This window comes from Homo sapiens, chromosome 20 (genome assembly GCF_000001405.40).
Source record: "Homo sapiens chromosome 20, GRCh38.p14 Primary Assembly".
Lineage (NCBI taxonomy): Eukaryota > Metazoa > Chordata > Mammalia > Primates > Hominidae > Homo > Homo sapiens.
In genome coordinates this window covers 59,015,758-59,043,229 of record NC_000020.11, presented here as the reverse complement: position 1 = coordinate 59,043,229, position 27,472 = coordinate 59,015,758, and the positions used below count along the sequence as shown (strand labels likewise).

At 44.2% G+C, this 27,472-nt stretch overlaps 3 protein-coding genes and 1 long non-coding RNA gene across 7 annotated transcripts, besides 4 other annotated features; 3 read left to right on the top strand and 1 right to left on the bottom strand.

Annotated features, from left to right (window-relative positions):
* Positions 127 to 526: a silencer, noted in NCBI's record as "silent region_13088". NCBI's record gives its function as "represses an Ori minimal core promoter by ATAC-STARR-seq in GM12878 lymphoblastoid cells {active_cell/tissue: GM12878}" and the evidence as "EXISTENCE:reporter gene assay evidence [ECO:0000049][PMID:35858748]".
* Positions 384 to 14,552, top strand: SLMO2-ATP5E (SLMO2-ATP5E readthrough). Of its 2 annotated transcripts, NR_037929.1 has the most exons (8): positions 384 to 531; positions 4,596 to 4,764; positions 5,950 to 6,039; positions 6,470 to 6,540; positions 6,657 to 6,759; positions 8,104 to 8,258; positions 12,801 to 12,927; positions 14,389 to 14,552. It is a non-coding gene; the product is annotated as an SLMO2-ATP5E readthrough (long non-coding RNA). The 2 variants fall into 2 exon arrangements; NR_037930.1 differs by lacking the exons at positions 4,596 to 4,764; positions 5,950 to 6,039.
* PRELID3B (PRELI domain containing 3B) lies at positions 444 to 10,085 on the top strand. 2 transcript variants are annotated; one of them, NM_016045.3, is made up of 6 exons: positions 444 to 531; positions 4,596 to 4,764; positions 5,950 to 6,039; positions 6,470 to 6,540; positions 6,657 to 6,759; positions 8,104 to 10,085. In NM_016045.3, exons 1-6 carry the CDS (start codon positions 500 to 502, stop codon positions 8,221 to 8,223), a joined length of 585 nt encoding a protein of 194 aa, NP_057129.2. In that variant the 5' UTR covers positions 444 to 499; the 3' UTR covers positions 8,224 to 10,085. The 2 variants fall into 2 exon arrangements, with proteins under 2 accessions (NP_057129.2, NP_001243332.1); NM_001256403.2 differs by lacking the exon at positions 5,950 to 6,039.
* Positions 10,652 to 10,941: a silencer, noted in NCBI's record as "silent region_13087". NCBI's record gives its function as "represses an Ori minimal core promoter by ATAC-STARR-seq in GM12878 lymphoblastoid cells {active_cell/tissue: GM12878}" and the evidence as "EXISTENCE:reporter gene assay evidence [ECO:0000049][PMID:35858748]".
* ATP5F1E (ATP synthase F1 subunit epsilon) lies at positions 10,895 to 17,755 on the top strand. Its single transcript, NM_006886.4, has 3 exons — positions 10,895 to 11,010; positions 12,801 to 12,927; positions 14,389 to 17,755. The coding sequence occupies exons 1-2, from the start codon at positions 10,979 to 10,981 to the stop codon at positions 12,922 to 12,924; spliced, it is 156 nt and encodes a 51-aa protein (NP_008817.1). The 5' UTR covers positions 10,895 to 10,978; the 3' UTR covers positions 12,925 to 12,927; positions 14,389 to 17,755.
* Positions 10,962 to 11,101: an enhancer, noted in NCBI's record as "active region_18187". NCBI's record gives its function as "activates an Ori minimal core promoter by ATAC-STARR-seq in GM12878 lymphoblastoid cells {active_cell/tissue: GM12878}" and the evidence as "EXISTENCE:reporter gene assay evidence [ECO:0000049][PMID:35858748]".
* Positions 13,886 to 14,416: an enhancer, noted in NCBI's record as "NANOG hESC enhancer chr20:57603869-57604399 (GRCh37/hg19 assembly coordinates)". NCBI's record gives its function as "activates a minimal SCP1, AML or CMV promoter by ChIP-STARR-seq in naive H9 embryonic stem cells {active_cell/tissue: H9 hESC(naive)}" and the evidence as "EXISTENCE:reporter gene assay evidence [ECO:0000049][PMID:30033119]".
* TUBB1 (tubulin beta 1 class VI) lies at positions 16,576 to 26,792 on the bottom strand. 2 transcript variants are annotated; one of them, XM_017028085.2, is made up of 4 exons: positions 26,685 to 26,792; positions 20,277 to 20,385; positions 19,630 to 19,740; positions 16,576 to 19,525 (listed from the first exon to the last, which is right to left on the bottom strand). In XM_017028085.2, exons 2-4 carry the CDS (start codon positions 20,374 to 20,376, stop codon positions 18,447 to 18,449), a joined length of 1,290 nt encoding a protein of 429 aa, XP_016883574.1. In that variant the 5' UTR covers positions 20,377 to 20,385; positions 26,685 to 26,792; the 3' UTR covers positions 16,576 to 18,446. The 2 variants fall into 2 exon arrangements, with proteins under 2 accessions (XP_016883574.1, NP_110400.1); NM_030773.4 differs by lacking the exon at positions 26,685 to 26,792 and adding an exon at positions 23,651 to 23,801.

The window sequence follows — 27,472 nt, the reverse complement described above, 5'->3', positions numbered from 1 at the left end:
AGGGCACCAGGAAATTTTGCACAAGTGACCACCACAACGAACATCTATGTCAGCAGGCTGACCGCATGCGTCCACACGCCTCGAAATGCCAGGCGAGGATGTGCTGGGCCAGAAGGACAAGGAGGGCCAAGCGGGCGCGCAGGCACCTCCTGGACCTGACCCAACTCTGCCCAGAGGTCAAGGCTCGCTACAAGCCCGCCGCGCCTGCGCAGCACAGCGCCCGCGCCGGCCCCTCCAGCTGCCGTCGGCGGCACTGCGCCGGCGCGATGCGCCCGGCGCTAAGAGGCGGGGTTTCCTTGCGCCGCGCGCAAGGCTGGGGCAAAACCCGGGCCGGGATAGGGCGTGGGGCCGCGCGTCTGGACGTCCCTCGCGTCGGGCCCGACAGCGCCTGCGCACTGCGCCGCCGGCTGGGGTGCTGGGGGCGGGGCAGGGGCAGGTGTAGCCTCTGTGCCTCGTTGTCCCCTGGCGCTACCCGGACATCTCTCAGGGTGCCGGCACCATGAAGATCTGGACTTCGGAGCACGTCTTTGAGTAAGTTTGGGGCGCGGGTCGGCTCCGTGGAGGGCAGGCACGCCGGCCCTGGAGTAGAGGCGAGGCAGAGGCGGCCCGCAGGAGGCTTCTAGGCGTCGGGCCTAGCGAGGGGAGCGAACTCTGAAGCCTGCGGGCCCCGGCGACACGGAGGGCAGACCAAGGTCACGACCCCGAGGCGCCCTAGCCGAGGGGACGGCTCCGACCTCCAGACCCAGGCGGCCTTGCGACCGGCAGGGCTACGGGGTCACTTCCGGGCTGTCCCCCACCATGAGGTAGCCTCGGGCCGGCGGCCTCCTGAGGTCCTGGGGGCGTCGCGGAGCACGAAGCCCTTGACAGCACTCAGGGTTGCCCCATCCCGCCCTGTGAAACCACTTTGGGACGTGGACCCGAGGATCCCAAGAGGGAGGTGTTGGTTTTCTCCAGAGTGTACTTTCCCTGGCCGCCGTTTGGGTGGAGTTTCTACCTTCGAATGTGAATTTCGGGTGAACTCTGACCACCAGGATGTGAAGCCTTTTCACAACTCGTTCATCTACGCAGCAGAGCCTTGGATTTGGAATTCAAGGTCTAGCTCTGGCTGTAACAAGCGTGTGACCCTGGGTTACCCATTTTCATCTGAGAGATGGAAAAGGACGATCGTCAGGGCCTACCCGTGTTAGCTCTTTGAGGCCACGTTCAGGAACATCTTTTTGGATAATGTGAACTGTTTACTAACGAAACTAAGCCTTGAACCAGTTGGATGTGGAGAATTATATTCTCTTCTAGGTCCCTGATTCCATTTACAAAAGAGCCACAAATTTAAGCAGCGAAATCCTTTTTTTTCCCGAGTTACCTGCTCTGTTCCGCTGATCTTAATGTCGTTGCCACACTGTTTTAATTAGTATAGCCTTGTAAATAAATATGCTACAAAGCCATTTATGTTTTTAAAACTGTCTCTGAAGGCAAATTTTTTTTAAATTTCTTTTTTGAGGCAGAGTCTCGCTCTGTTGCCCAGGCTGGAGAGTAGTGGCGTGTTCTTGGCTCACTGCAACCTCCGTCTCCCGTGTTCAAACGATTCTCCTGCCTTGGCCTCCCAAGTAGCTGGGATTACAGGCGCCCACCACCGCGCCCGGCTAATTTTTGTATTTTTAGTAGAGACGGAGTTTCACCATGTTGGTCAGGTTGGTCTCAAAGTGATTCGCCCTGGTCAGGTCGCACCTGACCTCAGGTGATTCGCCCGCCTTGGCCTCCCAAAGTGCCGGGATTACAGGTGTGGGCCACTGTGCCCGGCCTCTGAAGGCAACTTTTAAAACGTTGTCCGCATTTGTACTCAGTGGGACACATCCTAGGGCCTGCTGTATCCTGCAAAGTATAGAATACTGGAATCAGAAGGAAGCTTTCTTTTCCCCCTACTGTTTAGTCTTTTTGGGAGGAAAAAGACCCGAAATTTGTGGTCATTTAGATGTTCATTAACCTGGTCGCATTCATCACTAGTCCATTTCAGCTCCGAGGATGTTTAATTTCAGTCCTCTTCCAGGTTTGCATGCTTCAGTCCTCTTCTGGGTTTGCATGCTTCAGAGGTTCTCGGCACTCAGTCTCCCTAGAACTGTCTTCTCCCATATCTTCCCTAACTCTTCTTCCTGGCTCATCCCCTCCTTCCCTCTACACTCTTTCTGCCTTTGTCTTCAGCGCTTCCCTGTCTTTTCCCATTCAGTGTAAATGTTCAGTGAGATTCTGTGTTGGCCTTCCTATATTGGATTTTACCTGTGATCTTAATTTCTTTTTTGTTTCTCTTTTCGTCACAGACTTTTTTTTTGTCCTGGGAGAAGCAGCCCTGATCCGTGCTTTCTCCCCACATAATCTGAGCTGTTTGGTCAAAGTCCCAAATGATAGGTATACATTTATGGCACCCAGATCTGTACCTTGAGCTCCAGCCTCTCTTGAGCTCCGCTTTTCATTTTCAGGTGCCTGTTAGGCATTGCTACCCTCGTGTCCCACAGGCCCTTAAAACTCAGCCTGTCTGAAATTGAAGTCATCATCTCCCCTGACAAATCTGAGCGTTGTTTCTGATCTTTAGGATGTCACTCTCTAACAATGTCTAAGTCATCATTCTACATCTTATCTGTCTTTGATTTTCCAACACTTTTCTTCTGAGGCCTATAGTTGGCATCCAGGTGAAGTCATTCATTGATTCCTTCAACTTATAGAGATGCCCAGTATGTGTCAGCCACTGTTCTTTGGATTGATTACATTTTCATAAGTAAATCAAGACCTCGATGCTGCGCCAGTGGAGTTAATAATGTCCTCACCTCGTTTCAAAGGTGAAGAAGTTGGACCGGTCAGTGAGCCATAGCCAGGTCCTCCTGATTCTACTTTGGCGTGGTCTTTGAATGTCTTCCATTGTGAGATCTTTTCCACGTAATTATGTTAATACAGCTCAGATTAATTGCTGGAAGATTAATCATAATAAGTATTGTTTGTAATGTTTGAGCTGGTTATGGTTCATAAAGCAATCTTGAGCCAAGCTAAGTCAACATCAGTGGTTTCAAGTTGGTTCAGAAAGGAGAGATGGACTAAATTACAAATAATGCATAACCACCCTGAAGTCATGCGATTATTAATTTTTTAGAGAGGGTTGGGGGAAGAGGTAAGGGCATGGAAGCCAGCTAACCATGGCATATGACTGGATGGAGACCTGGGGAGGGTTCATCTGATTTTCATTTTAGAGAGTTGCCTTGGTAAGAATCAGTGCTTGGCCTGTATGCTTCGATTTGTCGGGACACTTCAGATTGATGAAGCAACTCTGCTTATATACCTGCATTGATTGCTGGATAAGGCTGGAGACTAAAGACAGAATGAGGTTCATTGGTACAATATTGTATAGAAAAGAATATTATAATGAAAACATTAAAAATGATGTCACTGGTTGTCCAGGGTTCTGGGAAATTAATGGAGTTGAGATTTTCCTTTTGTCAACGAGATGTAGTTGTCAATCTGAGTTCTCTAAAAGGTTGGAATAATGTCTACTTGTTTTACTTTTAGAAAAATAAAAAGTAATGCTGTGTGGCTTAACAGTCATTGTGGCTTGAACATCATCCCCAGATCTTGTCTTTTTCCTTTAAATGAAGATGAGAGCACAGATAAGTAGTGTAGAAAGCATCCGAATCAGACTGCAGGTGGACTAAGTCACCTTTAATACTGATTGTACTTAATAAGGGGTCCTTTTGAAAATGATATTTTTTGTACAAGTGTCTTATTCACAGAAGTTGTGAAGTGAACAAAGGTTGCATCACATTTTGAATCATCCAAGCACATGTGCCTTTTTGAAGAAAATAAAGATACTGCAAGTTCTCAAGTGATGTGATATTATTACCACTTCAATACTAGGTGATAAGCAAGTGCTTATTATATTAAAAGAGAATATTAGAAAATAGTATATTAGGAGTGCACCTTAAGGACATTTTATTATATTGAGTGACCTTTTCAAAACAGAAATCAGAATCACTCTTTTGAGAAAAACAGTAGATAAAGATTGACTGGAGGAGCCATTGTTATGTATTACATTAAAATGAAGGGAAAGTTCAATAATTAAATCAATGCTTTGGATCTTTTTGTGATCCCTGTAAGAATTTATAGTGCCCATAAACTCTTTTACTTTTGTTACTTCCGTATAAACTGATAGAATTGGGGTCAGAAAAAATAATAAATGGCATAATGATACTTTTGGCTATTTGTTTCAGTAGAACATAATTTTTAAATACATTTTCATGAATCATTGGTTCTTCCTAGAAACAATTTACATGTGAAAGTGGATAAGGATAAGTAGGAAAGATGGTGTAGACTGCTTTGATCTTTATAGATATGAGTTTTTTTACATAGCCTGTATTGTGGAAAAATACTGAAGCCTGTTAAAAATGTAGATCAGTTTCCCATAATCATCAGTGTTTCAGAAGGTAATTTTTCCTAGGTAAACTCATTAAACTTACATTGTAATGAATGATTTGATAGATTATAAAAATTGTTTAACTCATATGCATAATTTTAAATGTCTGAATTTTTTTTTTTTTTTTTTTGGTTCACATCGGCAGCCACCCGTGGGAAACTGTTACAACAGCTGCAATGCAGAAATACCCAAACCCTATGAACCCAAGTGTGGTTGGAGTTGATGTGTTGGACAGACATATAGATCCCTCTGGAAAGTTGCACAGCCACAGACTTCTCAGCACAGAGTGGGGACTGCCTTCCATTGTGAAGTCTGTAAGTGTGTCTTTATTCCCGGAGAAATGTGACTGCTGTAGAGAAGTTTTCTAAACCGCATTATACTTTCAAATAGGTTGTGGGAGCCGATTCTGAATGTCATTTTTTGCATCCGTTCAAGTTGTATTATAATAAACTTGAATTATGAGTGTATAATGAATTGGAAATATTATTACAGTCTTCATGAAGGCACCCAATAAAATTTTCTTAAGGAAGCCAGCTAATGCCGTGTGATCTGAAAGGAGTTCTATTCTGCTTTTTCTGCTTTTGCCAGCAACTTGAGACCAATACTAAGGTTTGGCAGTAATGGTCTGGTCATAATTGTTAGGTGACAGTTCTGTGGTCAGTGGTGGGTTGTGTACATTAAGTAAGGACTATGTTCTCGGACTTGTTATTGCCACATTTGTTCCAAGGTCTGGAACTCCTTCCTGTACATTTAGAAACAATTCTATTCCCTTAAGAATGAGCAGGCTTTAGTGAGCAGATTTTACCAGGAAGAAACTAAAATGCCAGTTTACCATAATGCGAGAAAACTGGTATAATAAGTGGATCCAGGTTTCTTTAGAGGGTCTCTTTATGGAGAGTAGGTTCACTAAGAAAACTAAAGTACACATTTTCAATAGGAATGTACTTACTGCCTCCTTATGCAAACCATAGTGCAGACACAGAAATGAGCAGGGTCAGGGGGTGGGCTTGGGGTCATAGCACAGGGAGTGACAGTGGACACTGACGTGTGAGCCTCCATCGTAAGAACGCTGTTTTTCTGTCTGGAGAATGAAGCTGAGGTGCCCCCTCCCTTGGGCTGTTCTAGGAAGATACTGACAGATGCCTTTGAGTTCTCCTTTTTCTAGCTGCCATGTTGCCCCAAACCTGATTTCCATATCTCAGCCTCAGCGCTCCACCGTCGCACCGCGGCAGATTCAGCGTGCTGCCTCACGTTGCAGACGTTCTCAGTGGGCTGGTTTCTAATTGCCTCCGGGAAAAGTTTTTGTGTCTGGCAGTCTCCTCTCATCCATGATATGTGAATAGGCCTCCTTTCTGACCTTTGCTTGTTTCCTCTGGTTTTTAGAAAACAGATTTTTGGTTCAAAATATTGTAACACATTTTTTCCTTCAAATAAAATATTGATAGACTTGGTAAGAAATTCTTCCTCCTCTGATTCCTAGTTCTGAATGTTTTACTTAGCTTATTGGTGCAGCAAGAACGAAAACATATGTGCAAGAACATTCTGTAGTTGATCCTGTAGAGAAAACAATGGAACTTAAATCTACTAATGTAAGTCTTGGCTCCCTTTTGTTTCATTTCGAACTGTCTGGCTGAGTTCTTTGTCCCTCTCCTAGTTGCCGTAGAAGTGAGTGCGTGTTCATGATGTGGTTCAGAGAATCCCTGCTTATGTGCTGGCCTAACTTGGCCCTGGATGTTGCTTCCTTACCCTTCCTGCTCTCATGATCTTGCCTATCTCTAAGGGGATAGCACTCAATAAAATGAGTTTGGGATTATGTGTATTATCATTATTATACTTTATTTCCTCAACTTTGCTTTTTAAATAAAAAGTAGGCAGTGAATAGTTTATGCAATAATAGCAGCGGTTTATTTGTTGTTTTGTATGTTTAGTAAGATTTTGGCTTGTGTGTTGATTTTAGCAACATTTTGAATCTTCAGTTCCAAAATGATTTGATCTTTTTTTTTTTTCTTCATTCTGTAGATTTCATTTACAAACATGGTTTCAGTAGATGAGAGACTTATATACAAACCACATCCTCAGGATCCAGAAAAGTGAGTAAAAAATATTTTAACAAATGTATCGTAAAGGGTGTTTAAGGTTTTTTTATCAAGTTTTTTGAAAATGAAAGCTGGGTCATCTGAACCTGTGTGAATATGTTTTGTTCCAGAACTGTTTTGACACAAGAAGCCATAATTACCGTGAAAGGAGTTAGCCTCAGCAGTTACCTTGAAGGACTGATGGCAAGTACGATATCCTCAAATGCTAGTAAAGTAAGTGAGGCTGCTTCTTGGTTATTATTCCCTGGTTCATTTCCTGGGAATGGAATGGGGTGCTGACTGCATGTGTGTCCTTGTAAGCTGACCCTTGCCCATTCTACCATAGGAAACTGCAGCACGTTGGGCAGTTACTTACAAAGGCTCTGGGTTCACATCCAAGCTCTAACTTTTAGCCTTTTAACCTTGGGCAACTAAGTTAACCTTTCTATGCCTCAGTTTCCCGTTTTTAAAGTGGAGATTACCCGTTTTACAGGGTTGGCGTGGAGTGAATGAGATAACATATGGAAAGTGTGTAGCCTGAGGCCCAGCACTGAGGAAGTGCTCGATGATGTGTAGCTGCGTGTCATTTAAGGCACTGTTTCTCAACCTTTTTTCACTGTTGTCTCCCCCACAACTCGTTTTAGACATTTTTTCCCTAATTGCCACCTCCATTAAGTCATATATCATATACATATGTGTGGGCTTTATACATAAAAGAGGGAGATTTTTTCCATCCCCCCAAGAACCAATTTTTGCTTATTGAGAATGCATGATCTGAAACAGTAAGTTTAGAGAAAGATGCCATGCACTGTTACATAACACATGGTGAATGTGGTTATCAAGAGATACTCATGGATGCCTTCTCTGTGCCATGCAGAGTGCTAGGCTAGACAGGGTATACAGCAGGGAGCAAAACAAATGTGGTCCCTGCCCCCGTGGAACTAAGAGGCAGGTGACATTAATCATACAGCATGTAATTAGGAAAGAAAAGGTACAGAAAGGTATGAGAGTGCTTATTGAGTGTTCAGTAACTGATGTTTCTGCTGACTGCCAAATGGGGGCAGGTGGATTGCGAGGGGTATTCCAAGAAGAGTGTTCTAGGTGGAGGAGCTGCGTGTGCAAAGGCCCTGAGACAGGAAGTAGGGAATGCTCTGTTTTTCAAGGAACTATATAGAACACTAGGAGAGAAGGGGTGAGGAGTGAGTTGAGGACCAGATCCTGCAGGACCTTGCACAGGATTTTGGTTTAAAATGTAAAGAAAAGGGATTTGACCTTCTTGCCCCTAAAAAGGGGACCACTATAATCATGAAACAAATAAGACATTCTGTCATTTAATTGTAGATTCATTTGAGAACATCTTTTGCATACAAAGTAAAAGTCAGTTTATGGATCAAGCCAGTTGCTCAAGGCATTTGATGTTTGCTAAATAACATTAGAAAAAGCCAGGACAAAAACGATCTGTCATCCTGAGATTGAGTTAAACTTGTCACGCCCCTTGTTACTTCCTGGTGTGTCATTAGTTCGATATATGCCTTTGCTCTCCCTCAGTAACAATAAATGTATTGGATTTTTTTTAAGGGCCGAGAAGCAATGGAATGGGTAATACATAAATTAAATGCTGAGATTGAAGAACTGACAGCCTCAGCAAGAGGAACCATAAGGACTCCAATGGCAGCAGCAGCGTTTGCAGAGAAGTGATCGTGACAGTTGGTAGACAACATCGGGTACTCCAGGTCTCTCCAAACTGACTATATATTTATTTGTTATTTTAAAAATACAACTATATTTTGGGTAGTTTTTTTTTTTTTTTTTTTGATAAGTTGGTGTAAGGCTATGTGACTTGATCAAAACAGATGCAGGGCCTCTAAATAAAAGGGATCATCTGAAATTAATGTTGTTTGAAATTACTATCTGATTTTGAGGGTTCCAGTATTTCTGTGAAAATTCAACAAGAACTCCTTGGAAACTGGTATTGATATTCAGTCTCCTTAAGGTAGATTTTTCAAGCTTTTCATACATTGGAACTCCACCTGACTTTGGACCAACCCCAGAACAGAGCAGAGCCACCTCCTATAGACGCCCATTGCCCTGCTGCTGTACACTTCAGCAGCTTGCACAAGGGAGCTCACTTAAAAGGAGAAATTGTGTAGTTTTAAAATATATTTTGTGTAAAATACCTTACTATGCTATAAACCACCATTAAAAACCAGTGTTTTGATTTGGTACTTAAATATTTTTGGAGTGAAAATTATCACTAAAGTAACATGACTCCAACAAAAGTATGGTTTCATTATAAAAGAGTACTGTATTGATTTGCCCAAGTTTTGTAACTTAGTAAAGGTATTAACTTCCTTGGATTTGTACTTTGTGATTTAGTATGCTGTATCGTGGGCTGGTTATGTTAACTGAAAAAAATAAAGTCATTACCTGAGTTTTGCAGTGCTCTAACTTAAACAGAAGAACAGCTGTTCACATCTTTTAGCATTTTACATTTGCCTAACTTAAAAATTGCCATGTGTCAAAATCATGGTTTTGTAATTGCTAAGGCATGATATGTCAGGTTATTTGAATATAATTACTTTTTGAAGTAATTGTGACCACAAAACATCTTTTTTACATGAAGGAGCTGTGTATCATTTGAAATTACTCAAATGATGTCTTGCTCTGAGGCATAAATCCCAGGTACTTAGTGTTTTTAATAATATGGTGCCACTGCAGGATTTGGGGGCGGTGGGGAAGAACAAGCATAATGGTAGGGGGAGGCTTGGCCTGAAACTAACCACTGAGTGAATTGCACTGCAGGTTTTACTTAACGGGAATTCCTTATTTGGGATGTCAAGAGGGCAGCTGCAAACTGAAAAACAATCCAGTAAATGTACTTTGTTTTATGTATTGTAGCAGGCAATTAACTACTAAATAATAGCTTTGACATTTGCAATTGTTGCATAGAGACTATTTTTGCTAGAAGATGATTAGCTCTTGCCTTTATTTTACAGTGCTTAGTGTGATAAACTTCTAGTCATGTTTCCTATCCAAGAGACCAGTTAATATATGTACATAAACCACAGAAATAGTATAACACACTATTTTTAAATTATCGTTTTCCTACTTAAATTTTGTTTAGCTTAAGACTTCTTAGGACATTTGTAAAAGCAGGTTAAATTTAATAAGGTTTCTGATTTTTTTTTGTAACCGGAGATAGTTTTTACAAGTGAAATAACATTTCAGCTAAATAAAACATCGCTAAATAATTGATATTTGATGAAAATCTGCTTTGTATAATTTCTGTAAATTATCCTTGTTCTGAAAAAGGTGTAATGCCCTAATATTTTTAAATCCTTATCCTTTGATTTTTTAAAAACTGACCTATTGATAAAACTATAAATTTTCATTTTCCAGTGCAGTTAGTTACCTTTTTAAACATAAATGCACAACAAGCAAATGAATTTAAGAGAACTAAACTGGAATAAGTGTTCATAAATGAAACCCTTGGACTATTTAATAAAGTTGAAATGTGAATTAAGGAAAACTTTTGTTAATAAAAACTTTCTTTTAAGTGATGTTTTTCCTGATTATAATTTCTTTTTAGTAATTAAAGGTGAAGGGCAAAGGCTTTTTTTTCTTTATGAGAGAAACACTTTAATTCCTAGACTGTGAGCCTTCACTGCGTTGGGTTAGTTTCTCTAAATCACAGGCTCTGAGATGAGCATTTTCCCGGCCGCCTGGCAGTTCCCTGTGCCTCCAGTGGGTTTTCCTCACATTTTTCTTCCCATCCATTCCGGGCAACAGTGACAACTGTTGCCTTACCCTCCGTCTTGTCGCACATCGGAAGCAGGTCCTAGAACTACAGAAAACGCTAGGGGGTCCTCCACTGGGTTTCCAGGGTTTAGTGTCACTCCGAGAAAGGGGGTGCCCTAAGAGCCTTTCTAAATCTCAGCTCTCAGGACACGCTTGTCTGTCCACAGATTTAAAAAAGCCGGCGCCGTTTCCCTGAAGCGGGCGCAAAGCCAGGCCCTCGGGGCGGCCGTGCCCGCGCCGCCTCGCGTCCTCGCTTCCCGAAAGCACGCGGCTCAGTGGTCCTTAGCGAGCGGGGACACCCCGGCCTTCTTGCCCCCGTCGTCCCCGCCGGGGTAATACGGAAGGTCGGGGGACACACGCCCCGGGAGCTCTTGGAGCCAATAGGTGGGCGCGGCCGGCCGGCCCGCCCCGGGATTGGCACCCGCAGTCCAGACCGCGCGCGCCCATTGGCTCCCGGCGCCGGGGGGCTTCCGCGGCAGGGCAGCAGGGGCCGTGCTCAGGGGCGGGGCCGGGTAGGAGGCGGTGATTGGCAGGTCCGCACGCCCCGCCTCTTCCGCTTCTGTGGTCTGATCTTCCTGCGGCTGAACCGCCCGGCTGAGCCGACATTGCCGGCGTCTTGGCGATTCGGCCCGACGAGCTCCGCTTTCGCTACAGCATGGTGGCCTACTGGAGACAGGCTGGACTCAGGTAGGCCCAGGCCTCCAGAGGGAAGGGCTTCGCGAGCCGGCCCGCGCGCATCCCGGTGCCCAGAGGTCATGCAGGACACAGAGCAGCGGCCCCACGCGTGACCGGGGTTGGGCCAAGCCTCGGGCGTCGCCGCCAAGATGGCGTCGCTGTGGGCAAAGCGCTCAGGCGGGCGCGGCCTCGACCTCGCGTGGGAGCGCGTCTGTGTCCTGCCTCGCTTCCCGACGGTGCGGCCCAGCACCCACAGAGTGCCCCTGGACACCTTTGTGAATGGCAGGTTTCTCGAGAGAGAGGCCAGCTCTTATTTAGCAAACCTTTTTCTTCTAGAATGGTGCTGGAGCCAGGTGGTGAAAGTAGTACAGTCACATCCACCTCGGGAAACAGGAGATTTCTCTCCACGTGACCGCCGTTAGCAGCTTTGACCTTTAATCCAGCATCGAGGTGGAGCCTTTTACAACTTTACACATTTTTTTTTTAAACTTTTAAGTCCTGTTGATTTCAGGTTTCCTTATGTCTAAAAGGGGTGAAAGCCATAACTGTCGAGAGCCCCTCACAAAGATGAGAGGTGGCTCCTGGAAAGCTCAAATATGGAACCCACTTGAGGACATGGTGTCTCATAGTGGAACCGCAAACCATTGGTCTAGCTGTCACATCCGATTTTTTTTTACCCGTGCACCTGAGTGAGCAGAAGTACCTTGCTCTAGGTGACACACCTTGTTAGTTGACTGGATGGTGTAGCACTTTACATTTTGTGGGTACACTACAGCGGAGCTTCCCGACTTGCTGAGGTCAAGCCAGCGAAGTCTTGTAGAATTGGAAGGATGGAAGGATGATAGTCCCAGTAGTAGATACCGTTTATTAGGCAACCTACCCTGTGATCCATACTTTTTCACACTTGTTTTTCCTCCTCCCAGCTATCAGCAGGACAGGTATTATTGTCCTTTTATTCTGTTGTTTTTTTCAGGTGAGTGAGTAAACGTGCTGAAAAGGTTGAACAGCCTGAAGGTCACCCAGTTAGTAAGAATGGAAGCAGGCATTGGAACTCATACCTCTGAGTCCCCAAAATAAATTCTAAAACATGAGAAAATAGCACCCCTCCCCGCTTCCTGTTTTTCAAAAGTGGGAAAGGTGATCTGACATCTTTTGGAAACTACAGTGTTGATGGGAGTCCATCTACCAAACAGGAAGCAGGTTTTACAGTTTTGCTAGAATTGATGATGTTCTCTAAGCACTTTTCAGTTTGATTTAGAAATCTTCATTAGGAGGTTATTTTCAGTGGCAGACTTGTGAGACAGAATTCAGTATTCTCAGAGAAGAGTTTAAATAATTTAGAACGAATTGTTTTAATTCAAAATAGTTTTCTCTTATGTATACCTCATTTTCCAAGAATAATATAATTAAAGTTTTAAGGAGAGAAATCGAGGAGAGAATTCATGATTCATGTTATAGTCTCTAAACATTTCAGTCTCTTTTTTTCTATGCTGTGGGATTTTTAAAAACATTTATGCATCTTTCATTTTGAATTAATATACACTAAAGAGAAAACACAGTACAAAGAAGAAAAATCAAAGATCATCCATCCAAACACCAGTTAATACTTTGGTACATTTTTTTCTAGTTCTTTTTCTTTGTATAGATACTTTTTGGCATTAGTCATATTTTTAAATCCAATTCTACAATAAGGTACAACCAAACCAAAATAAAAAGTACAGGAAGAAAAGCGAAAACACAGTAACAGCTGTCTGGCTGGAATATTGATAATTAACCATATACCTTCTCTCATTTTCTCCCAGCTACATCCGATACTCCCAGATCTGTGCAAAAGCAGTGAGAGATGCACTGAAGACAGAATTCAAAGCAAATGCTGAGAAGACTTCTGGCAGCAACGTAAAAATTGTGAAAGTAAAGAAGGAATAATCTGTAAGTTATGGATTTATTTAGAAGAACAGTTGCATCTTAAGTTTTTGGAGCACCATAAAGATCAAAATAATTTTAGTTTTGGGTTCTATTCATTTTTTAGTCAGTGTATTTGGAAGTTAGTTATTGGGATGGTATAATTTAAAGCATGCAGGTTATAGAAGTCCCCTGGCCTAATAAAAAGAAAGTCTTCTTGGGCCCTGACAAGCAGAAGTAATTGGCACATTGATTTTCAGTTCATTTAGCAATGCTTAGGTAGAGAGCCATCGTATTTGAATTAAACCTGTTTCATTTGTCTGCACAAATCAAATAATTTGGAGGATGAACTCCCCACTTGTATAATTGCAATTGGAGTTACATAACAGTCCAAGAGCATGAAAAACTACAGTTCTTTACATTTTTATTTCCCCCACAACCACTAATGTTCTCACAAATCACTACTTCCCGAACATAATAACTACAGGCACAGGCAAGGGTCCTGCTGTTGTATCAAGCAATAAAATCTGCAAGACCCCGCAGCGAATACTGTTTTGCTAATTTATTATGCTTTCAGAGGGTTTGGTTCATTTTACTTTTCCAAAGATGTTGGTGATGTAAAGTTAAATTCTCGTGAAATAAAAAGGTCTGTACAGTTGATAAGTGTAGACTTTTGTGTTCCACATTATAAAAGTGGTTTGATCTCTAAAGTACTTTCTTGACATTGTTATTTCAAAAGTAGGCAAGGCAAATTATCAGAGAGATGTTTTTCAGATTTAATTTTTCTTGTTTTGCTTTTAAAAAGCTTCAGACCCATAATAGCACAGAAATGTGATAAATATTAATCCTTTGGCAGCTTATGGTTATGAGCAATTTTACTTATTGGAACTGTCTCCCCTAAGCACTTTTCATTTTCATTTTGAATTAGTAAATATTTTATTACAAGTCTGGAGATGCAGTGTTTTGAATTTAGCCCTTTTTCTAGGGGCTCTCTGTCTAATCTCATAATTCTGAGTAATGAGACCTGGTTTTATGTTGGGTTGTTTTGTTTTAACAGTAAGCTAACAGAAAATCATTTAGCCTCACTCGGCTCAGAGCTGCCAGACTGCATCTAATGCTGAGATTTTGCAAAGTCCTGGGGGTCAGGAAGTAGTGTCCGATCCCCTTAAACAAAGCATTAGCCCCTCTCTGTTATGCCCTTCAGGGTTACAGACCCCACCTCATTAGCACAAGGAGATGTTAGTGTCTTTTAAAGGCAAAGTAGTTTCTTTATTCTGGGAGAGTGTTTACTTTTACTCAGCAGGAAAATGCCTGCTTGACTAAGCCTGTGTACTTGAACCAGCACTTTTTACATCTGAGCCACGGCAATGTGAATGATAGCCACAGTTATACAGTTCACTATAAGGAAGTTATTTCTTATATTCATGTTGAGTTTTTAAGAAAACACAGAGAACTAGCCAGCAACTTGCATTTTCTTTTTCCTCCTAGACCCTGACTAAAGCTTGAAATGCTACATTTCCAAGGTGAAGATGTGTGGGCACATGTTATGGCAGATTGAAAAGGATCTCATTCCATGGGAAAAAAAAAAATCCTGTCTTGTTCATAAATTGACAATGTCAATAAATTGAAATATGGTTCACTGTTACTCTTGATTTTAGTTTGTGAGACTTTTTCATTTTCTTTAAAGGAACTGTCTGCACAGCTGCATGATTATGGCCATGTGAACCAGGGTTTCTTAAAAGCAGGGGAAGCCAGATTTAATATTTAGTGACCAAAGGGATACAGAAAGCATTTTGAAAATGTCTCAAAATAGTTGTTTCATGACATTAATTGGTGATCAAAATTATCTGCTGTCATTGAGGCTTCGTAGTCCCTTATTTTTGAATTGTTGTCATGTCAGAATAATGACATGGTTATCAGTAACAAATGGAAATAATTATTAAATACTAAAAGTGTAGATTAGAAGAAGAAATACTAAATTGTACTTGTTTTGTATTGTGCACTTAAAGCCTATAGATAAGAACGGTTACAGAATTTAAGCACAAAGTGTTTTTCACATTGTTTTGTAAATGAATCTTTATACTCTGGTAGCATTTCTCATAGGAAATGAGGCAAAGCTATTGAATAACTTGCTCATTGAGTTGATGGCCAAACTGAAATTAAAACCTAGGAGTTTTGACTGCAAGTCTGGGACACGGTGACCACAACAGCAGTTTCGTGGTATTTCCATAGTGATTCATTCATTCATTATTTAGGGATGAAAAATTGTTGCAAGTTATGTTTTTATCTTTCTTTGAAACTTGAAAGGGCTTGGGCAAGTAAAACACCATTGCAAAGTTAACTGCCTGATTTTAACTGTTTTTGGAGACTGGAGAAATAAATTTGAACTGGAAATTTTGAAACACCATTCTAGGATCAGTTCTCACATGGTACTTAAGCTCACAATGATTTATCAGGGCCACTGTCAGCAATGCCGAGGATAAGCCGAAAAGAACATCTTTGTTCTCGGCTTCTGGGAATGACTTATTGTCCCGACACTTGACCTGTAGGTTTTACTGAATTCTCAGCACAGAGCGAGCAGGGAGGCAGAGCCAATTGAGTGGAAGAGGGTGCCTCTGGAAAACAGCAGGTTAGGAGCCCTTGGAGTCCTCCGCCTCGGAGCTGTCATCCTGCTGTTGGCAAGTTAGGGCACCTCAGTTCAGTGCTGTGGCCCCCAAGATTAAGGTACTAGGAAGTATCCTCCATTACAGGGAACAGGAATAAATGAATCAAAAAGCTATCGGGCCTTTTTGACATGGGACGAATAAAGTAACTAATAGGCAAAGGGGCTAAATGATTTCCAGTCAAGTAATTAGAGATAAGTCATTTATTAAGGAGGCAGATGGGGTATTATTGGTATATAGATGGCATAGTAGATTGCTAGTATATTGGTAGATTATTGGTATATAGATGGTATGTTAAGGAGGCAGATGGGGTATTACTGGTATATAGATGGTATGGTAGATTGGTAGTATATTGGCAGATTATTGGTATATGGTATGTTGAGGCAGATGGGGTATTACTGGTATATAGATGGCATAGTAGATTGGTAGTATATTGGTAGATTATTGGTATAGAGATGGTATATTATTAAGGAGGCAGATGGGGTAATTAGAGGTGAGACTTAGGGACAGGGCTTGTGATATGGAAAGGAGTGAAGTCACTGAGTAAAAGACAAGTTTACTGTCAGCAGAGATTCTTAGAGGCTCTTTTCTCCGTGATTAAAAAAAAATCCTAAACCAGTAGTATAATAAACTTCCTGCCTCCAGCAGTGCTGGGTAGCTGGCAGGATGACTGTGCCCAGTGATGAGGTGACCCCAGTCAGACCAACTTAATGAGTATCCCACTAATTAGTTGGATGATGTTTGAAGCTGTCAGTTAATCTCTTAGTTCACATCGTTCTTGTGAGCAAAGTGAAGGAATCGGATAAGCTCTAAATTTCGGTGATGCTGCTGCTCTGAGAGACCAAGGTCGCTGGAGCAACCGTACTGCTAAAGGATAAGCTCTTCAAAATCAAAAGGGACAGATTTCTTAAGTTTCTAGTTTGTTTTGTGTTTTTACATCTATTTCTACCATACGAAAGAGTAGGATGGTGAGATGCATTTCTAAATATTTTTAACTACTCAGTCTGGATGGTTAGGCTTCAAGAAAAGGAATTTATTTAGTCTGAAATAAAGCAATTTTGCCATTTAAAATTGAATTACTTTGTAGTTTAATGATTACTATTGAGCAAACAAATCTTTACAGTAATATAAGTCAGCAAAAGTTTTTTAAAAGGTTTAAATCCCTCCTTCCTTACATCTATTTCATTGCTTTTTTAGGTTTGGGAAGTAAAGCACCAGAGGAAGCATGTGTAAATCCTTGTATAATCGCAGGCTGTAAGTCTTTAGCATCTCAGGAAGTTACTAACTTCAAACTAAGTATATAGGTAGAGTTTCTTACTAAATCTAGTGCTTCTTGAACCACAAGTAGAAAGCATTTAAAACATGAATGTTGTTTTGTGTTTTTTGAAGTTTGTAAATAGAAGACTTGTTGATGATCCGATGGCAAGGTATTTTTCTCTTGGTATGTATTTTAGTTATTTCCTCGTGATGCATAAGTGAAAAGAGTGAAGTTTCTCAGAATGAGCAACTGTCATCCATCTACCTGCTATTTTATTATTGCTGATTACAAAAGCAAATCAAGAGATGAGAACCCAGTTGCCTGCAAGTAAATATTTACTGCATTGAGGGTCGGAGCATTTTCCCATTACCGGTTATCCATGGATCAAATAGTGTATCTCAGTGGTAATTCTAGAGGGCCATTAAAACCCTGATGGTGCTGGAAGAGATGGCAGTGCTGCATGTCAGAAATAGGTAAACTGTAATTAAGAAGTTACAGATGATTTGATTACGCTCTTGTGTATTTGGTCCTGTTATAATGTGAGCAGATTAAAATCATGTAGTGCTTAAAGCTATGTCATTATGCAAACATTTATGGCAACTTCTGCAAATTAATTTGAACTGTAAAAGTTCCCTAATGAGACGATGTCCTCCATAACTGAGAAGGACACTGCAGCCATTGCTGCTTAATTCCTGCATTTGAATGGTTGCCGAGCGCATGGTGTGCCCTTTCTCAAAGAGCAGAGAGGCTGCAGAGCATTTTGGGGGGTGATGACTGAATGAAAGTGAAAAGACCATTTCAAAATAGCCTTTAAAAGGAAAGCCAAGGATGATTATTAATGAATTCCTGGGATCTAACAGTAGTAAGAAATTTAAACTATATAAACATATATGTTAAAGGCTAGCTCTTCAGAAATAAAGATCAGAAGACTGCAGTTCTTTAGTTTTGCTTGTCTTTTTGTTTTTCTTGTTTGGACCAGGTATTTTTGTGGAGAGGACTGTGGCTTTTCTTTTTTCCTCTTTTCCAGTTAGCATGTTGTATGCACAGGTCTACACAACATGGATATTTCTAGTGGATGTTGACTCACATTGACCTTGGCTCTGTAGCTCCCCATGTACTAGTCAGGCACCTGGCTCTTCTGGAGGCTGGCAGGCACTGGAAAGCAGGATGCCAGTCAGTGTTTGCTCAGAGGAAAGAACCTAAGGAAAGAGTCTTAGTAGCCCTCGGATACCAAGTGAGGATTCCAGGGTGCCTATCAGTGCTGCTAAAGTATAAAAATGTAACACCAACTCCAGTGGCTCCCTGCAAATCCACACGTGTAGTCTGGATGCCTGGCAAACACTTTGAAACAAAGGGAGCACTTTACAATAAATTTGCTATTTTTTTAAGTTAATAAGTATGCACTGAACATCAAACTCTTCAAGGTTAGTAGATGTCAGCAAAGACCCTAATGCCTGTCAGCTGCTCCCCACCTGTCTCCCTCAGTCCCTGTGTCGAAGCTAATGGTGAGTGCATATCATTCACTGTGCTGCAGTGCAGAGTGGGTTTTGGAGTGCTGCAGGAGAAACACTCATCTAATGAGAAACTGTTCTGTAAGCGACTCCGCGGCACAGCTTCTCTCACAGTTAATGTCCCTTATCTTCTGGCTCCATTTCTGCCTCCTCCGTGACCTCTTCATCTTCCTCTAGAACTGCTTTGGCATCTTGAAATTGTTGGTACTCGGATACCAAATCATGGATGTTATTTTCAGCTTCCCCAAATTCGTTTATGTCCATCCCTTCGCTGGTGTACCAGTGCACAAAAGCTTTCCTTTTGAACATGGCTGAGAAATGCTCAGAGACCCTATTAAAGATCTCTTGGATGGCCGTGTTGTTGCCAATGAAGGTGGCGGCCATGCTCAGCCCCCGGGGCGGGATGTCGCAGACAGCCACCTTGACGTTGTTGGGAATCCACTCCACAAAGCAGCTGCTGTTCCTGGTCTGCACGGAGAGCAGTTGCTGGTCCACTTCCTTGGTGGACATCTTGCCCCGGAAAATGCAGGCCACTGTGAGGTAGCGGCCACGGCGGAGGTCACAGGCAGCCATGGTATTGCGGGCATCGAACATCTGCTGGGTGAGCTCGGCCACGGAGAGGGCTCGGTACTGCTGGCTGCCCTGGGCCGTGAGTGGGGCAAAGCCGGGCATAAAGAAGTGCAGGCGGGGGAAGGGGACCATGTTCACCGCCAGCTTGCGCAGGTCTGCGTTGAGCTGACCCGGGAACCGGAGGGAGGTGGTTATGCCGCTCATGGTCAAGGACACTAGGTGGTTGAGATCCCCATAGGTGGGTGTCGTCAGCTTCAGGGTACGGAAGCAGATGTCATAGAGGGCCTCATTGTCAATGCAGAAACAGGCATCTGCATTCTCAATCAGCTGGTGGATAGACAGAACCGCGTTGTAGGGCTCCACCACAGTGTCCGACACCTTGGGAGAAGGCATGACGCTGAAGGAATTCATGATCCGGTCCGGGTACTCCTCTCTAATCTTGTTCATGAGCAGAGTGCCCATCCCGGAGCCTGTGCCCCCGCCCAGGGAGTGGACGATCTGGAAGCCCTGCAGGCAGTCACAGCTCTCACTCTCGTGCCTCACCACCTCTAGGACATTCTCGATCAGCTCGGCTCCCTCCGTGTAGTGGCCTTTGGCCCAGTTGTTGCCAGCCCCAGAGTTACCTGTGGCCAAAAAGAGAAACCAGCAGGGGAAGAAAGGTGAAAAGAGAAGGGCACCAGTAAAGCATCCCCCCCTCCTCCTGGTGGAACCTTCTGGAAAAACATACCATGGACAAAACTGTCGGGTTGAAAGAGAGCTCCTAATTTGCTAGATCGAATGCTGTCCATCGTCCCAGGTTCTAGGTCCACCAAGACTGCTCGGGGCACATATTTCCTACCTGTGTAGAAAAATAGGAAAAAGTCAGCCTACTTGTTTTTCTAAAAGTTAATGTTTTATCAAAATAGAACTTTGTGATACTGGTCCAAAAAAAATCATGGATATTCTAGAAAGGGGCCCTTGGTAGGTCGAGATTTGAGTATCTAACATCATATTTTTTACCCCAACAACAATCCCACAAATCTATAGAATACCCAGAAACAATCTCCATCAGTCTGCTCTGTGATATTGCCAGTGACAGAGATTCTCTTCCTTCATATTGGAAATGATCCTGGTTTCATTTGTGAAACCACAAAGGAAAGTGAGTACTTAACCTGCTTGTGTTAAGGTGTGTGCCATATCCAGCAGCTCCTTCCCCATTCCTGCGTCTTGACCAGGGCTTGGGGACCCACCACTCTAGGATCCTGCTGCCCTGCCTGTCGCCTCCCTGAGCATAGACATCACTGCTTTGACATTTCCATCTCCTGGGCCTCTGCCCTTCCTCTGCTTGTGTTCCCAGTTGCGGGACCACTGCTCCCAGAGCCCCGCCAGTCCTACCGTAGGCTTCGTTGTAGTACACGCTGATTCTCTCCAGCTGCAAGGCCGAGGCCCCGCGGTCGCTCCCAGCCAAGTCGATCCCGTGTTCCTCACCAATCATCTCCCAGAACTGAAAGCAGGAGGAAGGTCAGAGTAAACGGACCCCGAAAAAGGCTGTGTTAACCACAGAGAAAGTTAGCATTCCCAAGCCTGTTTCCCTCTGGTTGCCTGACCCTCCCCAAGACATTCTTTTAGGGCCTTTTCATAAATAACCATGGCATCATTCGCTTTTTGCCTCTACTAAGCAATGTGAAGTAATATGAAGATTGCATTTTCTCCCCACCTGAACTCCTTAAATAAAATGTCAAACACAAAGTACTAAATTGGATTTTCCTCCTATTAAATTCATGCCATTATATACATTAAAGCTGTTGTTTTAGAATTTAATGTCAATATAGCTCTAATTTCTCCTTATAATGCTCCAAGCTAGTAAAGTGTAGATTCCATTAAAGGAAAATAAACTGAATTCTTATCTGATTTCACAGTAATAACTCATTTCACTTTGGGGATTTCTTTTCATGAACTTTTCCAAACAGCCCATAACTTGGACCTCTGTGCATGATTTTAAGTAATTAGCGCCTTTTTTTTTTTTTTTTTTGATGGAGTCTTATCTGTGCAGTGGCGTGATCTCGGCTCACTGCAACCTCCGCCTCCTGGGTTCAAGCGATTCTCCTGCCTCAGCCTCCTGAGTAGCTGGGACTACAGGCACGCACCACCACGCCCAACTAATTTTTATATTTTTAGTAGACACGGGGTTTCACCATGTTGGCCAGGATGGTCTCTATCTCTTGACCTTGTGATCCACCCTCCTTGGCCTTCCAAAGTACTGGAATTACAGGCATGAGCCACAGCACCCGGCCTTTCTTTCTTTTTTTTATTTTTTTATGTTTGTTTGTTTGTTTGTTTATTTATTTATTTTGAGACAGAGTTTCACTCTTGTCACCTAGGCTGGAGTGCCGTAGCACAATCTTGGCTCACTGCAACTTCCACCTCCTGGGTTCAAGCAATTCTCCTGCCTCAGCCTCTCAAGTAGCTGGGATTACAGGCGTCCACCACCATGCCCAGCTAATTTTTGCATTTTTAGTAGAGACAGGGTTTTGCCATGTTAGCCAGGCTGGTCTCAAACTCCTGACCTCAGGTGATGCACCTGCCTCGGCCTCCCAAAGTGCTAGGATCACAGGCGTGAGCCACTGTGCCCGGCCAGTAATGTGCATTTTTGATTGTCAGGTATACATACAACTCACAATTACACATAGTTGTCCTCTGGTAACTATTTGAAACATACTGCACTTCCAGTCACATACACAGTACTTATTAATATAGATATGTGCCAAGCTCTTAATATGGAAACAGTTACTGGGAAGACTCCTTTTGATCACCCTGAAAGGCACATATTAAAATGCAATGAAAATGTATTCACATATATTAAAATCCCCAAGGGTATGTTAAAAACCCCAGCCATATCTTCTAAATGACAGTGCTGCTCTGGCCATGGTCTTAATAACAAGGCAGTTCATGGTAAACTGCCAGCACTGTTCAGGGAGTGGAAGAATAAATAAATTCAAGTTCTAAGATACCCCAAATTAAATGTGTCTTAAAGTTCTTATATCTCTAAATGATGAGTCAGCCAGGACTCTCAACGCTAGACCATACGATTCCAGAGTGAGAGCTAAAACCCTATCTAAACCTAACACTTTCTCTTGAGGGCCCCTTTCCGTATTATCTTCCAGCTTCAGAGCAGCAGGGCTCCTGCCTCCCACTTCTCTGTGTGTGAGTTATGAATGTCTTACCCCTGAGGCATGGAGGAATGGTGACTTCTTTTCAAGCAGTAATGTTCCTTGCCCCCGGTTTAAAACGCCTGCATTTAAAAGCCTTAGTTGTTTCCTGGCAGCATTACTCACAGTAGCCAAAAGGCAGAAACAACCCAAGTGTCATTGATGGATGATGAATGTAGGTGTTTCAAAACCTCACTTTTAATGCATCTCATATTAGTAAAAGTAATTTCACAGCAGCAAAGAGAACACGATAAATTTTGCACGGTGCAATTGGTCATCTTAAAATCAAGATTGGAGATTGTGGGTTCGGGCATCTGTGTTCTTGGGGTTGGCCAATTAAGTTACGTACTTGGGGGAAATTTTTAAGCAGGGGGGCAAGGGAAAGAAAAACTCATTTATATTCCAGACAGTGTATTTTAATTAATTATGTTACTGTACACAAAAAACTTTTATTTTCAATTAAATTTCTTAAATTTTCAATTGCATACTAATAAAACAGTAATTGATTTTTTTTAAGCGTTACAATAAACATGAGAGGGGAGGGGAAAGACACCATAGTGACAGGGTACAGAAAGTTTCTCAAAAAACTTCAAAAAGCTGTTTTGAGACAAATTACTGTTTTTAGATATGAAAAGTTCATTGTTAAGATAAAAGTGGGCCAGGTACAGTGGCTCACGCCTATAATCCCAGCACTTCGGGAGGCCCAGGCGGGCACATCACCTGAGGTCAGGAGTTCGAGACCAGCCTGACCAACATGGTGAAACCCCATCTCTACTAAAAATACAAAATTAGCCAGACGTGGTGGCGCATGCCTGTAATCCCAGCTACTGGGGAGGCTGAGGCAGGAGAATCACTTGAACCCAGGAGGTGGAGGTTGCAGTGAGCCAAGATTGCGCCATTGCACTCCAGCGTGGGCAACAAGAGTGACACTCCATCTCAAAAAAATAAAAGATGATAAAAGTGCCAGGCACGGTGGCCTACACCTGTCATCTCACCACTTTGGAAGCCTGAGGCAGAAGGATCACTTGAGCCCATGAGTTCAAGACCAGCCTGAGCAACAAAGTGAGATCCCTGTCTCTCAAAAAAAAATTTAAAAATTAGCCAGGCATAGTGGTGCATGCCTGTAATCCCAGCTACTCAGGAGGCTGAGGCAGGAGAATAGCTTGAGCCCAGGAGGTTGAGGCTATAGTGAGCCATGATTCTGCCACTCTACTCCAGCCTGGGCAACAGAGTGGGCAAAGAAAAAGATGATAAACGTATTATGTAATATAATGGTCGGCATGTATTGTACATATGTATCTATGGATAAAATTAACATTAATTAAATTAACACTCTAAGCACTTAATGTGTGTTGTAGCTCTTTAGTTAAAGATTGTTTCCTTCTTTTCCCATGTGAAATTTTTTTTTAAGAATTAAAGCCCAAAGGCATTGTCTGATATTTAGCAAGTACATTAAATCTGCTAGACTTATTGTCTTCCCTGCTAACTTAGGGTATTTTTTTGGTTGTCCGCCTCTATGGACTGTGGTAAAGCTAGGATTAGTAACCAGACATTACTTACCTTGGCTCCGATCTGGTTGCCACACTGGCCAATCTGAATATGGACAATTTCACGCATCCTTGCTCTGAGCCCAAGTCTGAGATCTTCACGGAATCCTCAGACTCTCAGAATCCAGAGCTTCGGTTCACTGGTGTGAGCCCAACACAACTGTGGTCACTGCAGTGGTGGGACTGGCCAACCAAGCTACCCTCACAATGTGACCAAGGGTGTGTCCACCCCAGAGGCCCAGCTCCCCGCCCTCAGCCAGTCCTGGCCCTTCTCTGCTTTCTGCCTGTCATGCTTTTGGAAGGGAGTGTTTTTCCTCCCTCAACACAGAATACTGCCCCATCATTTCCTAGAGAGTGAGTGCAAGATTAAAGGCCACCTCGGGGCACAGGGCCTGGAGGCTGGCACTGTTTGCAGGCTTCTAGGTGACCATGCTGGCCCTAGTGACCGTGGTATGATGACTGTGGCTCCTAGCTCACCCAGGTAACCAGACCACCTCCAAGGGCTTTCCCTGTCCATCTTCCCGGCCCCTTTTCCAGACTTTGGTCCCCAGAAGCCCCGTGCCCCGCCACAGCAGGAGGCTCCACAACTGGGCCTCGCAGGTCCCAGGTCCCGGGATGGCCTGCATCAGGCACTGTCTGCCCGCCCTCCCCCACATGCCCTCTCTCGCCCTGTATGCAAGTTACTCTGCAGTGTCCTGCAGGTCTCTTGGACCCCTGCCCTATCCATGCCAGGGCTGGGCTGTGCCCCAGCACCCTTCCCAGCCCCTGCTCTGTCGTCCCATCTCAGCTCATGGTGTCTGGGGTCTTAATGTTTGCCATAGGGTCCCTTTACCAGACCCTGAATTCTCCAAGAGCAAAACGGACTCCCAATTGTATTCCCTTAGAGCCGGGTGTGGTGGCTCACTCCTGTAATCCCAGCACTTTGAGAGGCCAAGGTGGGCAGATCACCAGAAGTCAGGAGTTCAAGACTAGCCTGGCCAACATGGCGAAACCCCATCTCTTACTAAAAATACAAATATTAGTCAGGTGTGGTGGCACACACATGTAGTCTCAGCTACTCGGGAGACTGCGGCAGGAGAATCGCTTGAACCTGAGAGGCGGAGGTTGTAGTGAGCCGAGATCATGCCACTGCACTCCAGCCTGGGCGACAAAACAAGACTCTGTCAGAAAAAAAAAAAAAAGCATTCCCTCATGCGGTGTACAGGAGTGGCAGCAGGCTGGGTACTCAGCAGCTTGAAAGCAGCTGTTCTGTCTCCTGGTCCTCAGTACCTCCCCTGCCACCAAGTTTCTATCATCGTCGAAAGCCAGCCCTAGGCTTTATTACCTCCAACCAGGCAAGGGCATCCAGGCCAAACACCAGCTCCATATCCTTGCCCAGGAGGGTGGCAGTTCCCCACCGCCTGGAGGACAGAAGGTGGAAGCTTCCAAGGAAGATGGGGAAGGGACTCCCTGAGAAGGCGTGAGAGCCCTGGCTCGGAAGGGGAGAGCCAGTGGACGCTGCCTTGTGCCTGTTGAGCTGTCGAGGTGCAGGTGGGCAGGTACAGGGCAAGGCCTCACTCCTGAAGCCCCGAGGATGTGGACAACCACCATCCGGTGAGCAACCACCTCTTGAGGCCTCTCTTTAACGTCTGCCGGGCACCCTGAGGTTGCCCCCATTCTTTGAACAGCTATGGACGGGGACCTGTCATAGGCTGGGCTCACCTTGGGCGCTGCAGACAAGGGAATGAAGGAGGTAGATGTGGCCAGATCCTGCACTCTTGGAACTCTGGCTTACTTAGGAAGAGAGCACTCCTAGCTCTGGAGCAGCTCAAGGACACCATCTCTCAGGACAGGGACTCAGGACAGGCAAGACTACTGAACTCAGAGCGAGAAGCCCTGGAGGTCCTTCCCTCCCCTGCCTCTCGCCAGACCCGTGACCTTGGTTGAAGCATTGGAGCCCAGCCTGGTCCATGAGGGGCCTGTGCTTCCTGTGCCCCAAGCCCAGGCTTGACTCCTAAACCTTGTGTTCCTTCTACAGGCCTGGTGGGGCCCAGGATGTGAGGTCAGGAACACAATCAGGAAAGTTCCTAACGATGGAGTGTCTGGGGGAAATCGCTTCTGCTTACTCCCAAAGGAGCTCAAACACACAGCCAAAGGGCCTGAGCTATAAACCAGAAGAGAAACCCAGAGGTGGGGAAGAAGAAAGCACTGTGTCCTAAGAGTGCCTGGACTGGGACTGCTTCTCACCTCTGTCTAGTGTGTAGATCCCAGGCTGCCCTTGAGTACTGACAGTGCACCCCATGATCCTGGGCTGGATCCAGGACCAGGGAAGAGGGCTGCTATAGAGGATGGTATGAGGATCATTGTCAAAATTCAAATAAGGATTGTGTACACTGGAAAATAGTATTGTATCAGTGTTCCATTTCTTGACTTTGATCATGGCAGGGTGGTTCTAAGTGGAAGTCCTTGTTTCCAGGAGATCCCATATTATGAAGCACTGTGCTTCAAGGTCGTTTTGATGCTGGCAGCTTACTGGGAAACAGTTCCACAACCACATAACGTGATAAACGGAGAGAGGGCAGTTCAGCAAAGGGGCAAAGTGGTAACAATTGCTGGTTCTTTTCAAAGTTAGCACAAGATTAATACCCTTGTAACATTTCTCTAAGTTTGGAACTTTTTTGTGCTCAAACCTGAATGTCACATGACTCACAGATGCTTCCGGTCCAGTCACCCCTCCTCCCTGCCCAAAGGTAAAGAGAAGAATGTGCAAATTCAAGAGGAGGATATTCACAGGTCCTCAGCAGTATTTTTCAGAAATTAAAACAGACCATTTTATTAATGATCTGTTTAAATTAAAACAGACCTATTCATAGGTCCCCAGCAATATTTTTCAGAAATTAAAACAGACCATTTTAAAATTAAGAATAGACCATTCTGTTTCCATAGACATTAGCCCATCTTGCCTCACTTCCAGCCTTTCTCCTGGCGTGCCTTGGCCTCTTTTCCCCTTGTCTCTGTCCCCACCAGCTCTCCCGAGCCTCCCTCCCCACCCAGGGGCCCCTGCCTACCAGACTTCTCCGAAGATCAAAGACAGCTCCATGATCTTCCCACAGGCAGGTCCCTCATCAGAGACACTTCCTCTCCTGGGGACCAGAGCACTTCAACCTGCAGTGCCCACACACAGTCCTGTTTGCTAATTACTTATACACATGCCTTATCTCCCGCCAGCCTGGGAGCTGCCTGTGTCGTTTCATCTTTGAGTCCCCAAAGTGCCTGATCCATGGCAGGGCCTCAGTAAATGTTTGTTAAGGGCACACTGACAGCTGGGCAGGTTTGAGCAGTGATGCTCAGAGCGGGCTGTGTTCTTAAAGCCAGTGATGTATTTATTCACGAGTGTGTCCTTCTCCAGGTGGGGTCACCTTTTTCCTCCATTCCATAAGAGGTGGTCTAGGCTGGAGATATAAACTGTTCCAAGAAACCTGGATGTTGGGGACAGACTATAGATGGAATAACCGCAGTGAGCTATTACGGGAAGGTGTGACCGGTGGGCAGCCGTGGCCTTCTGTGGCCCAGCTCCTGAAAGGAGCCCCTGTTGGCCACAAACCGCCTTGCTGCAGGGACCACGGGGCTGGGCCCAAGGGGCATTTCTGGTCTGCCTGGGTTCACTGTTTGCCATGTGAGCAGGATCCAGGCTGCTGGGGTCCTCCGCCCACCCTCCGCACTGCAGCACATTCCTCTTGGCCATCTTAGTTTGCTTAGGGAGGGGAAAAAGCCAGGTTTCCAGGTGGGCGCTTAAAAGGTTTTTCTGTTAATGGGGCAGTTGGCAAAAAGGAGGAAAAAGAGAGAAGCCCTGTTT

Excerpts from the sequence above, each read along its gene's own strand:
- ATP5F1E (NM_006886.4), top strand. The coding sequence starts at position 10,979 with ATGGTGGCCTACTGGAGACAGGCTGGACTCAG. Across the intron at positions 11,011-12,800 it reads TGGAGACAGGCTGGACTCAG|CTACATCCGATACTCCCAGA; the intron begins GTAGGCCCAGGC and ends ATTTTCTCCCAG.
- PRELID3B (NM_016045.3), top strand. The coding sequence starts at position 500 with ATGAAGATCTGGACTTCGGAGCACGTCTTTGA. Across the intron at positions 6,040-6,469 it reads TGGAACTTAAATCTACTAAT|ATTTCATTTACAAACATGGT; the intron begins GTAAGTCTTGGC and ends TTCATTCTGTAG. Across the intron at positions 6,760-8,103 it reads TATCCTCAAATGCTAGTAAA|GGCCGAGAAGCAATGGAATG; the intron begins GTAAGTGAGGCT and ends ATTTTTTTTAAG.
- TUBB1 (NM_030773.4), bottom strand. The coding sequence starts at position 23,707 with ATGCGTGAAATTGTCCATATTCAGATTGGCCAGTGTGGCAACCAGATC. Across the intron at positions 19,741-20,276 it reads GTACTACAACGAAGCCTACG|GTAGGAAATATGTGCCCCGA; the intron begins GTAGGACTGGCG and ends TTTTCTACACAG. Across the intron at positions 19,526-19,629 it reads ACCCGACAGTTTTGTCCATG|GTAACTCTGGGGCTGGCAAC; the intron begins GTATGTTTTTCC and ends TTTTGGCCACAG.